This window comes from Homo sapiens, chromosome 20 (genome assembly GCF_000001405.40).
Source record: "Homo sapiens chromosome 20, GRCh38.p14 Primary Assembly".
Classification (NCBI taxonomy): Eukaryota; Metazoa; Chordata; class Mammalia; order Primates; family Hominidae; genus Homo; species Homo sapiens.
In genome coordinates this window covers 45178925-45193063 of record NC_000020.11, presented here as the reverse complement: position 1 = coordinate 45193063, position 14139 = coordinate 45178925, and the positions used below count along the sequence as shown (strand labels likewise).

The 14139-nt window shown below is 41.4% G+C and overlaps 1 long non-coding RNA gene across 3 annotated transcripts; it reads right to left on the bottom strand.

Annotated features, from left to right (window-relative positions):
• Positions 1 to 2159: 2159 nt before the first annotated feature.
• On the bottom strand, positions 2160 to 13077 carry LINC02597 (long intergenic non-protein coding RNA 2597). 3 transcript variants are annotated; one of them, NR_187568.1, is made up of 4 exons: positions 12930 to 13077; positions 7886 to 8017; positions 5679 to 5910; positions 2160 to 4843 (listed from the first exon to the last, which is right to left on the bottom strand). It is a non-coding gene; the product is annotated as a long intergenic non-protein coding RNA 2597 (long non-coding RNA). The 3 variants fall into 3 exon arrangements; NR_187567.1 differs by lacking the exon at positions 7886 to 8017; NR_187566.1 differs by lacking the exons at positions 5679 to 5910; positions 7886 to 8017.
• Between the last annotated feature and the right edge of the window lie 1062 nt (positions 13078 to 14139).

The window sequence follows — 14139 nt, the reverse complement described above, 5'->3', positions numbered from 1 at the left end:
CAGTCAGATACTTGTATTTTCACAGAGCCAAATAGACTTCTTTGAAATTAAGAAGAAAATAATTGGGCAAGTCTTGCTAGGGAATGGTGTGAAGAGTTCCTTGGATTACTCCAAACCAACAACCACAGCTGGTGAAAGTTATTTTTATTTTATTTCTTTTAGATTTTATTTTTATTGTACATATTTAAGGTATGCAACATGATGTTTTGATATACATATACATAGTTAAATGATTACTGCAGTCAAGCCAACTGCCATATCCATTGTGTGATATAGTTATCTTCCTGTTATTGTGAGAGAAGCACATAAATACTGTCTTAGCCAGTTTCCAGTAGATGATACTAAGAGTTGAGTGACCTGGTGGCTTCTCCTCTGGAATAGCAGTGTAAGGAGATCCATGGAAATACCCTCAAACCAAACAATCATACTTGATAAAAGTTATTTTTTAAAACAGCCACTTGAAGTCTTTGGGAATTGTCTTAAGTGCATACATTTATTTTTAAAACTCTACTAAACCTTGAAAGAACACAGAGTGTCTACAGCATTTGAGTCATAACCCACTCTATACTTTCTATATCCTAGCTCAATATGAGGGAAGCTTCACTCAGGGCACATCTAGCCAAGTAATGGGAGAGTCTCTTTCCTCTCACTTCCCTTTAAAGGGTTATGATATCTCACCAGAGGCAAAAGGTTGCCAGCATCTCTCAAACCCATTCCAAGGTTGTATTGCAGAGATTCCAGGTGAGTGTGATGAAGAGGTACAGAGCTCCATTCTTCCACCCAACACTACTTGTAGTGGAGAGGTTCTATCCCAGGCATTGTAGGTCAAGAATGCTGAGACCCCCATAGCCCTCGGCACAGCTCATTTGCCAGGCAGAATTTTCATGCCAGTGAATGCCTGCCAACAACATCAGAGGATGTTCTGGCTCATGGTCAGAGCCCAGTTGGTAAAGCAGGGCTGTCACTCTGAGAAAAGTGAACCACTCTTTCCAAAACAGCTCCTTAGAAGGAACTCAGTGATTTTCCAAAAGTGAGAGGCAGGCTATAAGAATAGAGAGCTCCAAAGTCCTCCCTAAGGAACTGACAGTATTAGGAACAGAGTATAAGGAATATCCAGCCTAACGGCGCTCTTAAAAACTATGGAGACCGGGCGTGGTGGCTCACGCCTGGAATCCCAGCACTTTGGGAGGCCAAGGCAGGCGGATCACGAGGTCAAGAGATCAAAACCATCCTGGCTAACATGGTGAAACCCTGTCTCTATTAAAAATACAAAAATTAGCTGGGCATGGTGGCATGCAACTGTAGTCCCAGCTACTCAGGAGGCTGACGCAGAAGAATCACTTGAACCCAGGAGGCAGAGGTTGCAGTGAGCCAAGATTGCGCCACTGCACTCCAGCCTGGCGACAGAGCGAGATCCTGTCTCAAAAAAAAAAAAAAAAAAATGGAGATTTTAGTGGGTTTTAGTGATAAACAATGAAGAGTAAGTTGGAAGCCCATGAGATAAAAATCCAATGATTAATGAAATTGAACATACCAACTGATAAAGTAAGCATTTGAGGTTTTCCAGGAAAATATTGATGATAAATTGTCATGGGAGAGTTACCCATGACACATTTTAATTCCACCAAAATTATCACAAAAATATGTCAACATAATTAGAACATACATTAATGGTGAGAAAATGCACACATCTCAATGGAATAAAAGATAAACTCAATGCCTTTGAGAATTTTACAAATGATAAGGGCAGAATTCCACATCACTTAAGAAATGTTAGTAATTCAGCGAATGATGTTTAGACTGATTACCGGCAATTCAAGGAGTAAATACTGGATTTCCACTCCACCCATTATTTCAAAGTACGTTTTAGGTGGTCAAGGATTTAAACATAAAGATCGAACTATAAAAGTATTCAAAGTAAACATGAGACAAGTTTTGTAGAATATTTACACGTGAATGATTTTCTGAAGTAAATTAATATCATTAACTACAAGCAAATAAAAAGTTTTACAGGGAAAATCATGCATACAGTAAGAAAACAGAAATTTTTAAAATGTATAAACACATATGGTGGGAATAGAGATATTCTATAATATATTGAAAGAATTTTTAAAACACAATAAGGAAAATAGATCTTCTCATAGAAAAATAAACATAGACCATGAACATGTGGTTTATTAAAAAGTAATGCAAGTAGCTACTACATATTTGAAAATAAATAAAACTACCCCCATAATTAAAAAAAACCACACCAAGTTAAAACAAACACATGAGTCTTTTGTTGTCATGCCTATGAGATGGTCTTCCAAATTTGGGGCAAATTTCATTTGCCAGCGGTCTGTGTCTCAATTATTGTAAAAGGAGTAGCTCGGTCTCTTAGGACTCTTCCTGCTGTGAGAAAGATTCCAAGAATCTTACTAAAGTTTCTTCCAAGTGAGCTGTGAATGTGCAGTAGAATAGCAGAAAGCTCGTGCAGTGGGCACACCGCAAGTGAGAACACCAAGGTGATGCGGAAGACCTGGATGGTGGCAGAATTAGCATATTGTGGAGGGTTACTTTATAGTTGAGTTGCTGACTTCTTTGGGGTCTCCTCAAATCTATATTTTTCTTTGATTCCACATTTTGGCTTGGATTATTCTATTTTCCTGGAATTCCTATTGTCACTGTGCTTTTTGGCAAATTAACCCCTCAACTAGTCTTTTTTGAAAGGCTAATGAATCCTCCTGCTTTTTCAACATTCTACCAAAGGGAATGACATCATATTAGAACAGATAGTTCCCAGCCCCAGCTCTGCCCCTGATTTCTAGATTAAACTTTGATGGATCCCTGGATTCCGGTTTTCCCATCCACAAGATGGGGGGTTTTGTCTGGATATTTCAAAGGGAGTTTCCAACTTCAAATTCAAGAAAAGTTGGAATCTGTTACAAGCTGAGAAGCACCTGGTACTTGTGCATGACGCTTATCACTCTGGACTCCAAAAGACAGACACACATGGCTAGCTAGAACAGAGTGTCCCCATCCCAGGAGGTACTGGACAAGGAAGGCCTAAGAAGGTTGTTCAAAAATTATCATTAGTGATCCCCGCTTTCAACCCCCATGGAGCACACACAGCCTGCAAATATGTTATCAGTGTTTCCAGTCTCAGCAAAAACTGTTTTGTTAGAGAACATTGTGCCTCTAGGAGGAACATGGTAGCAGTGGAGCTATCCCAGAATAACCATATCTTTTCTGACTGCAATGCAAATTCTGAGCATTGATTTACCATTTTAGAGTCTCTGTGTAATTTCAGTAATATCATGCAGCCCCTGAACTTCTCATCTTTCTCATAATTCTTGATCTCCCCTCATGATTACAGAATTGTAAATGCCTTTTCAAGGAAGTAAGTGGATTAGAGAATCCAGGCAAGAGGCGGTGAAGTCCCTACTATTGCCAATCTCCATTGCCTTTTTACAGTTGATTAAAACTGTAGGTCATAAGCTGAGGCTAGAACACAGAGTGAAGGAAAGGAGGGGCATAGTAGGTGCTCCAGTGCTCACAATGGGATGAGAATGGTTGTGTGGGCAACTTTCCTGTCTTAGCCTCTAAGCCTACAAACACCATTCCCAGCAGAAGCTGCAAAGTCCACATGCCTGTTTCTCTGACTTCTTGGCAGCCTCCACATGTGCATATGCACCGGTTCACACAGTCAGAGGTATACACTGCAATGGACTGAGAATTGGTGATAGAAAAAAGCAGACATGGAGGTGGTAGGAAGTGAGAGTTTACTCCGGCAGCAGTGGCATAAATGGCTACAGCATCTATTTCCAGTGAGGAGAGTGGAAGTGGTGTCCAATTTGGCAATGTTGGTGGCCAGACATGGTGTTGCCATGCCTGGAGGCAGCAGTGGTATGCTCTGTTGTGATTGGAGAGAAAAATACTGTGGGACCAGTATTGTTGAGGAATGAGCGTGCCCATAAAAACACTGAACAGTAGGCTGGGAGGATAAGGTATCATCTAGTGTGGAGAAGCTGAAGATACAGCCTGTGATTAAAATATAGGCAGAAAAATGGGTCAGGCCCATTAAAGGTGACCTTGTGAAATAAATTACTGCCATTGAAAAAACTGATAAAAAAAGATATCTGGCCTTCTGCCCAATAAGAAAAGGCACATTCTTAGGAATATTTCCATGGTGATTAGGGAGTGGCCCTTCTATTTCCAGAGGTGAACAATTGTGCTGTTCACTTTATACCTGCCAATGTGTAAGTTTCAAGGGGAGTTTGGAACCCTAGGAAGATCCACGGTATGGGAGATGTGTCCATGCTTTTGACTGTCCACTATGTGGAACTCCCTTGTTATGTTGTGGGATCTCCCTATTTAAGGCCATCTTTGAGACTTGCTGAGTGACAGAGCTGGGTTCCTACTGCAAAAACAGAACAAAACAGGGGGCACTTTCCTTCACCCCTGAGGCCTAGGGCTGCACAAACATGCTCAGCAAATGTAATGTTCCCATATGTCACCTTGAATCTCCATTGAGTGACTCAAAGAAGCAAGGATGAAGGGGCATTCTTTCCCAGAACAAAGTAGTATTGTTGTCCACAGCAATACCCAATTCCAGAGTCATGGGTGGCAGTGATGAGTGTCCAGGACTGCAGCAGCTGTGTACACATCACACAATTGTTGAGAAGTGGTTCTGGCTGTTGTCATGCTACCTAGACACTCATATCTTACTATGGTCCTGATCCTGAATCTTCAGGCTTCTCAGAAATCTGTGAGCTGTGTTTTGCAGGTTGGGTTATCCAACAAGCTCAGGGTTCTCAGGGGCTGAGACAGAGTTAAGAATGCAAGTTGCCTTGTGAGGTCACACCTGTGAAAGTAAAGGTGAGGAAGCAGTATTAGGCAAAGGATGCCATTGCCAAACTGTCCTGACAACATCTCTGTCAGCCCAACAGGAAGCTCTGGAGCAAGAGCAAGAGCAAGAATTTTTTTATAAGAGAAGTTCAACATTGGGCATGAAGGGTAGAATCTCATACTACAGCCTTACTTTGCCTTTGGCTGGAGGGCCCTGGTTCTGTGTGATCTCAGCTCAAAAACTGAGGTTGTGCCTGAGGTCGAGCAGTGGCTGGCAGCAATTAACTAACCACACTCCATGCAGCTGGGCAACAAGGTGCTCCTTGAAGGGGCATCCAAGCAGTACCTCTGTCAGCCACAGTGCACCCCTGGCACTGCTGGGATCCGGGCTCCACACACTTTGGGAAGCTTCTCCCAGGCTCTGATGGGCTCTCCCTCTGAGATAAACCATAAGAAGGTGGAAGGGAAGGGGGTACACAACAGCTGTGGCCTCTGCAGTTGTTGTGTGGGTGGCAGCTGGTTCTCATCATCACCCTCCTGTATTCTCATTTTAAAGTCTCCCACCTTCAGCTACGATCACTGCTGATGTCAGTGGCTTACCTGGTGGTAGGACTCACATTCTCGTTCCTGGGTGTAACTATGCCCTACTCAGGACAGGGTATCCTGCTAAAAATTTAGAATAAATCTCTTCTTTTGACTAAGCAGACATGCTACTTAGAGAGTCTGCCCTTTAATTATTATGATGTTTGTCTGGAGCCCTGCTTAGTAAAGCTAAAACATTATTCACCATGATCCTTGAAATCCACAGCCCCTGCTGTATGTTAGGGAAGACACAGAATAGGAGCCCTTACCCAATGCCCAGACAGATGACAACCAGTGGCCTTGTCCCTTGCTCAGCCTCCTCATCCTCAGGACCTTGGGGGTCAGCACAGCAGCCAGGAGGTGAGAAAGGAACCTGGTCTACAAAGGAGTCTCAGGGCTTTCTTTTTTCCCTCTTTTGGTGGTGATTCCCTCCATTATACTTGATTTTATTTAGCTGTTCTTCACTCCTTTTCATCTTGACTATAGCAGCAAATGGTTCACCTATTTTGTAATTTTTTCAAAAACAACATTTAAATCTATTAATTAGAGCTACTGTTTGTCTCTTCTTGACCTCAAAAATTTGCTTTTATCTTTATTATTGCTTTTTTTTGGCCTTATTCTCTCTTTTTCTTCTTTTGTTGAAAATTTGATTTATTTACACTTCTTATTTCATTTTTGTTGATATAAGTATTTAAGGCCTGGGTGTGTCCTCTGTATCCTTGTTTACTTTTTTGTCCACTTGGTTTGTCTTATACCAATACAGTGTGTTCAATTCTCCTACTGTTACTGTGTTTTTATCTATATCTCCTTGGTGTATCTCATATTTTCTTCTTTATAAAGTGTTTTCTGTGCTATATAGTGCTTACATACTTATAACTAATATCTTTACTGAGAATTGTGGCTTTTAATGTTCAAAAGCGTCCTTCTTACTGTTTCAGCAACAAAACAAGTTATAACGAATGTATGTAATAAATATCTATGAATCCACGCTGATATAAATAAACAATTGAGTAAGTAAATAAATGAGGGATAATAAACAATTATCTGACATCAATAATTATAATTATCATTTTTATAGAATAATTCCAAACAATTTATTTAGATACTTCCCCTTTAAGGAATATCTTACATATGGTTGTGCAGTGACTTCCTTTCAAAGAGTATAGTATGCAAGGATAGGGGGAAAAGTTGACTTTTCAGTGTAGAAACTTGACGAACACTGCCTCAGACTGGTCATCTAGGTCAACATCATCAACAGTAAATCATGTTGAAGTCAGTACCCTGGATATTACATGATAAGAAGGGCACTTTACCTCTGATGTTTTCCTCCAAAAAACCACAACCCCAGTATGAGAAAAACATCAGACAAATCTCAGTTGAGGGACATTCTATAAAATACTTGAGCAGTACTCCTCAAAACTGTCAAGGTCTTCAAAAACAAGGAAAATGTGTGCAACTGTCACAACCAAGAGGAGCCTAAGAAGACATGACCACTAATTATAATCCACATTGTCCTGGATGGGCTCCTGAAACAAAAAGAACCTTGGTAACAGCAAAGGCAATATGAACAAAGTCTGGACTTTAGTTAATAATGTATCAATACTGGTTCATTCCTTGTGACAAATGCACCCTAGTAAAGTGTTAACAGCAGCAAGGACTGCACACCAGCACACAGAAAGTCTAGCAAATGCTCTGAGCCTCCAGGACTCTTTCTCTGTATTTTCATATGTGGACATCCTCCTGGGAATGAGTTTATTTCAATCATAGGCTCTCCTATTCTTTACACACATATTTCTGGACCCCACTGTTTCCTTTGAAAAGGGTAGAGGCAGAAGTTCAAGAGAGCTCTCCATTGAAAATCAGATGTTCTTTCTGTATAATTTGAAGTTTTTACTGTTCTCTGACTTCAGATTTTGCTGAAGAAATGATGTTTCTGAGGTTTTCTCATTCTTCTGTGTAATGATATGGCTTTATAAGAATACCTTGGGAGATTTACATTCACAAGGACACCATAACTCTAGCTACCCTCAAAGTCTGGCGAATTTTTATTTTTCTGGTAAAATACCCAACTGGAGAATATTTTTGTAAGAATTTTTAAAAATTTTGACTTTATAGAAATTGAAAAACTTTGTAAGGTTAAAATATATAATCTAGCTAAAACAATGGTTAACAACCAACCAGAAAAAAATTTTTAAATGTATGAGAGCAAGAGTTGGGTTTTCTTTGTATAAGAATCACTCTTACAAATCACTTGAAATATTATGGACACCTAGTAGAAAAAAGAGCAAAGGGTATGAAAAGACAGTACACAGGGAAAAATAATGTTAACACATGAATCAATATGAAAAGTGTACCGCCTTGTTCATCATTAAACACAAGTTAAAAATTATCATGTTATCATTTCATTTCCTGTATCACAAATTTAGGCAAATTATTTCCCATCTCTAAACATGCTCAGTAGACACAATGCTCCCACCTGGAATTTTAGATCTCCCTGGAGTGACTCGAAGCAGCAACTATGCTCGGATACTCTTCTCCAGCATGAGGCAATGTTTTGGTCAGCAACGAACCGCATATGTGATGGTGCTCTCATAAAACTATAATGGAGCTGAAAAATTCCTATCACTTAGTAATGTCATAGCTGTGGTAATGTCACAGTACAAGGCACTACTCACATGTTTGAGGTGATGCTGGAGTAAACAAGTGTACTCCACTGCCAGTCATATAAACATATAGCATGCAATCATGCACAGTACATAATACTTCAGAATGATAGTAAACGACTATGTTACTATAATTACTATACTATACTTTTTATCATTATTATAGTGTCCATCCTCTACTTATTAAAAAATAACTCAACTGTAAAACAGTCCCAGGCAGTTTCTTCAGTCTGTATTCCAGAGGAAGTCATTGTTATAACCGGAGGTGACAACTGTATGTGTTATTGCTCCCGAAGACCTTCCAGTGTGGCAAGATGTAGAGGTGGAAGACAGTGATATTGATGATCCTGGCAAGATGTAGAGGTGGAAGACAGTGATAGTGATGATCCTGACCCTGTGCAGGCCTAGGCTATTATGTGTTTGTGTCTTAGTTTTTTTTGTATTTTTTTTTTTTTTTTGGAGGTGGAGTCTTGCTCTGTCACCCAGGCTAGAGTGCAGTGGCAGGATCTGGGCTCACTGCAAGTTCCACCTCCCAGGTTCATGCCATTCTCCTGCCTCAGCCTCCTGAGTAGCTGGGACTACAGGCGCCCACCATCACGCCCGGCAAATTTTTTGTATTTTTTAGTAGAGACGGGGTTTCACCGTGTTAGCCAGGATGGTCTCGACCTCCTGACCTCGTGATCCACCTGCCTCGCCCTCCCAAAGTGCTGGGATTACAGGCATAAGCCACCATGTCTGGCCAACAAAAAAGTTTTAAAAGGAAAAAATAATAATTTAAAAGGAAGAAAGCCTATAGAATAAGGATTTTTTTAAAATATTTTTGGGTAGCTGTACAATGTGTTTGTGTTTTAAGCTAAATTTTACTACTAAAGAGTGAAAAAATTAAAAATAAAAAAGTGTATAAAGATTTTATACTAAGTTAAGGTTAATTTATTATTGCAGAAAGAAAACTTTTAAATAAATTTTGTGTAGTCTAAGTGTATAATGTTTACGTCTACAGTAATGGACAGCAATGTCCTAGTTCTTGACATTCACTTACCATTCACTTAATGATTCACAAGACCAATCAACTTGCAGACCTTCAAGCTGCATTCATGGTAAGTCCTCTATACAGGTATGCTATTTTTAAATATTTTATACCATATTTTTACTGTACCTTTTCTACATTTAGATATGTTTAGATACACAAGTACTTACCATTGAGTTGCAATTGACTACACTGTTCAGTACAATAACATAGTGTACAGGTTTGTAGCCTAGGAACAATAGGCTATACCATATTGCCTAGCTGTGTAGTAAGCTATACATCTAGGTTCCTGTAAGTCCACCTTATGATGCTCTTGCAAGGTGCAAGATACAAGAACATCATAGAGTGGACCGCCAAGACTCCAGTTGTCCTAAAAGTCTGGTGAGGTTTTTGGTTTTTTCTTTGTTTTTTTTTTTTTTGTAAAATGCTGATTTGAGGATTTCCTGAGAATGATAAAAATTTGACTTTATAAAAATTGATAATCTTTGGAAGGGAAAATATGATATAAGCAAAGGAAAAGAATAAAATCATGCATTGCATAACTAAGCCACAAAATCACCTAACAACCCATTTCTGAGACCATATCACTTGTCACTAAGTGACCCATGACTGTAGTTAACAACTCACCAGAAAAATATTTGTTAATGTATAAAAGCAAATAGTGAATCATATTTAAATAATAAGCACTCCTACAAATAGATTGAAATAATCTGGACAATCCAATAAGAAAGGAAGCAAACGGTATTAAAAAGCAGTCACTGGGGAAAGGTTAACATCTGAATCAATATGAAACCTCTACCATCTCACTGAAAACTAAATACAAGTTCAGAATTCATCATGTTTCCTTTGCATTTTTTTTTTCTTTTTGAGATGGAGTCTCGCTCTGTCACCAGGCTGGAATACGGTGGCGCGACCTCAGCTCACTGCAACCTCCGCCTCCCTGGTTCAAGCAATTCTCCTGCCTCAACCTCCTGAGTAGTTGGGATTACAGGCGCCTGCAACCATGCCTGGCTAATTTTTGTATTTTTAGTAGAGACGGGGTTTCACCATGTTGGCCAGGATGGTCTCAAACTCCCGACCTCAAGTAATCCGTCCACCTTGGCCTCCCAAAGTGCTGGGATTACAGGCATGAGCCACCACACCTGGCCTTCCATGGCTTTTTTTTTTTTTTTGGTATCACAGTGGATTTGCTAAAAACTAGGCAAATTCTTTCCTATCTCTGGAATTCAGTTCTAACAAACGTAAAAATGAATGAGGTAGAAAGATTGTCTCTAAAACTCCTACAGCCCTTTCCACAATGAAAGAGGCTAAAAGATACTATAAAGCTATTTTATTGAAACGTGTGAGATAAGAATAAAAAATACAGAAAGTTAAGATAATTAAAATGAGAGAATAAGGGGGTGCTGAAAATTCCACTGAGAATAGCTGACTTGTCACAGAGTTGTAGAAAATTATCTCAGCCAGATTGCTTCCATCTGCAGTGTCTTCTCTTTGTTTTTGCTTTCACACATTACCTTATGCTGTTCCATCACTCTAGGCTGTCAGGCTCAATCCAATGGACCACCTTTCATGGCCCAGATCAAGTGGATCCATCAAAGTGACCTTATTAGGAAGTTAGCGCTACATCTTAGTTCTAGGCCCAGCAAGGCTACGGAGCACTCTGTGACTGAAAGACCTTCATTCTCCTCTCTGGGACTCAGTTTTCTCCTCCTTAATGTGAGAAGGTGGTTCGTGATAATGTCAAGGGGTACTTCCTGTTCTAAATTGGATGGAAGGCTGTGTAATCAGGGGACATGCTAAGAGCTGATAAACACTAGGTGCCTGTTTTTACCTCCTAGGGCTGACACCTGCTTACCCTTGAGATGGCTGACCCACATGACTGGTTGGAGGAGAGTCTCTCTGTCTCAGTTCTAGACAGGGCATGAGAAGTGGCTTGATTTTTCCTGAGGCTGACCAGTGGCTGCTCTATCGTTCCGTCTTGGGAATCACCATAAAGCCTCAGGGACAAGCAGAGGGCTGCTGGCCTCAGACAAGAAGCCAGAACCCTGCTGGGTTTTGGATTATTGGATCCAGATGGTGGAAACAAAGGGAGGAGAGCAGAGAATATATGTCTTCTCTTGTAATTGAAAACTTGATGTCTGCTAAGCTCATTAAGCCACTGTGACTCACTCAAATGGCATTTTAGAGGACTTAAATGTGCCAGGTGGACCCCAAATCCAGTCATTTTTCCCCTTCTTCTGACTTCCTCCCAAAAGTTGCCCACATAGTCAAATTTCTCCTTAGAAAGCTCTCAGTCAGGGGTGTCCAATCTTTTTTTTTTTTTTTTTCTTTGAGCTGGAGTCTTGCTCTGTCGCCCAGGCAGGAGTGCAGTGGTGCAATCTTGGCTCACTGCAAACTCCGCCTCCTGGGTTCACGCCATTCTCCTGCCTCAGCCTCCCAAGCAGCTGGGACTACAGGTGCCCGCCACCACGCCCGGCTAATTTTTTGTATTTTTAGTAGAGACGGGGTTTCACTGTGTTAGCCAGGATGGTCTCGATCTCCTGACCTCATGATCGGCCCGCCTCGGCCTCCCAAAGTGCTGGGATTACAGGCGTGAGCCACTGCGCCTGGCCTGGGGTGTCCAATCTTTTGGCCTCCCTGGCCCACATTGGAAGAATTATCTTTGGCCACACATAAAATACACTAACACTAACGATAGCTGATGAGCTAAAAAAAATCACAAAGAAACTCATTTATGAATTTGTGTTGGGCCATAATCAAAGCCATCCTGGGCCACATGCAGCCTGCAGGCCACAAGTTGGACAAGCTTGCTCTAGGTAGTTTGGAGGCTCTATTAGAGGGGCTCAAAAACTCCACGTGCTTAGGCCTTCTCTTTTCCAGATGGTGTTACTGAGGTTAGTGAGAACAGGGAACTTATCCAGGTCTGTTAGGAGTAAGACTTAGGTCTGGGAGGTGACATAGTACTACCTGTTCCTGAATTCCAGAAGGGAATCGGAGGACAGAGGGTACCTGGAAGGGACTTGAAGCTGGATAAGTTAACGTGGGTAGAAAGACTCCCTTCTCTGCACAGTTACACAGCCTCCTAGGTGGGCAGGACCAAGCTTAGATGTCGCAAAAAAAAAAAAAAAGATACTTGGTCCAAAGTCACATCTCCCAAATTGGGCCCTCATCATGCTGTGAATTCCTTATTTCTATTAATTAATAATTTCCTTTGAAATTCTAAACAATTGGAAAACAATGAAAGACTCCAAGTATTAGGAGACAAATACTGAGGCATCAATTGGAATTATAGAAATTACATTTGAAACAATTTGATCAAGTCAGCTATTTTCAGACAATTGTACAACGAACCCATGTCTGGGAATCAGAGAACCAGTTCTTTTCTGGGTTTGACTTACTGAGTGAAATTAGGAAATGCATTTCTCCCTTCAGGGGTCTGTGCAATCGTGATAAAGTAAGGAGGGAAATGACATCTCCCCACAGTCATTTTGTTGTCCTTTATGCCATTCAAGATTTGTTAATCAGGTGTCAATATCTCTAGGGAGGCCATGCAGGGACAGCAAAGTGAAACATGTTGGGGCCTTGTATCTCTCTTTGAGGCCTTGGGTCTCCAAGCCCTTGTCTGGTTCCAGCACTCCTTGGACAAGGCTGTCTTCCCTAGTAACAGCACCTCTCATTGCTTGGGAAGTTAGGAGAACTGGTACCCCATATCTGCTTTTGAAATCTGGTTTGAGTCTAGAGGACACATCCAATGCATGGATCACACCCGGAATTATTGCAGAGGGAAGCAATGAAATGGAAGCAAGAAAAATAGCTTCTTTCAAACTCACCCAAAACATTACTCACGCTTTCTTTTTTCTTGATCTTCTTCAAGTGCATTAATAATTTTTCTCCAACTTCTTTCAGAGAGTAGTTTCCAGGAGATTTTTTTGGGGTAGTTGAAGACAATAGAAGGCAGAAGAGGAAGAATAAGTAACTTCCACAATCTCCACCCCAAGAGGTATAAAATAACACCACCACCAAGAAATTTCTAAACAAAACCACATCCTCAACATAACTTGAAAACAAAGAATGCCAAAAATACAAAATACCTGTCAGTGAAAAGGGAGCAAACAACAAATCCCAGGGCTGGAACTCACACTCTCCTGCTATTTCCAGCCCCACTGTAAAACTTAAAGCTTTGCAAAATCGACCAAAAAAACTGCTGAGGAAGGAATGACATAACCAAGATGGTGAAATAGAAGGCACCTGCTCATGTCCCACCAGAATGACAAGAATTCTACACTCATCCACAGTCCAAAGTCTCTCTGTGGGAGCCTCTGGATCTGGATTCAGGGGGAAGTTTGTGAAACTCTGGTGGAGCCCAAGACCTTGGAGGGTCATATTGAGAGTGCAGACCAACACCCACGTGGCTGATCCACTGAGCTGGCTCCAGAGTTCAATCCCAGAAATGGCCCATTCAGGGGTTTGGTTACATTTGGCCTTGAGCCTGCAATCAAACCCATCTGCTGTGGGGTCCAGAATGAATCACATACACTAGGGCTTTGGCAGAAAGGCCCTTCTGCTCACTGACTGGGCAGTGAATCTGAAAGTTGCCTTGTGATTCAGCTCCAGCCCCCATCAGCTGAGGTCCCAGCTCAGAGCTGCTCACACAACAACCCAGAGGGAGACTCACACATATCTCATAGCCTAAGATCCTAAGCCTCCCTGACAGGCTTGCCAACCTCTGTTGCACAGCAGGTCGAGATGGGATCCAGTCTCAGCTCTGACACTTCCTGCTGTAATTGAACTATCCTTTCGGTGCTGAGACTTGCAGGGAGATATGTACTTGTCTTGGCCAACAAGATGGACTCTCCAGCCTCCATCCCACAGCAGATCCCAAGGTGGGGCCATTCCCAGCTTCAGCTCCTTCTGCTGGAATCAGGAAACTATTACGTCTCCGCAGGAACTTGCTGGAAGATGTGCACTCCTTCTAAGCCAATGAGATCGGGATCTCCAGCCACTGTGCCACAGCAGATCCTGAGGGGCCCAGTATCAGCT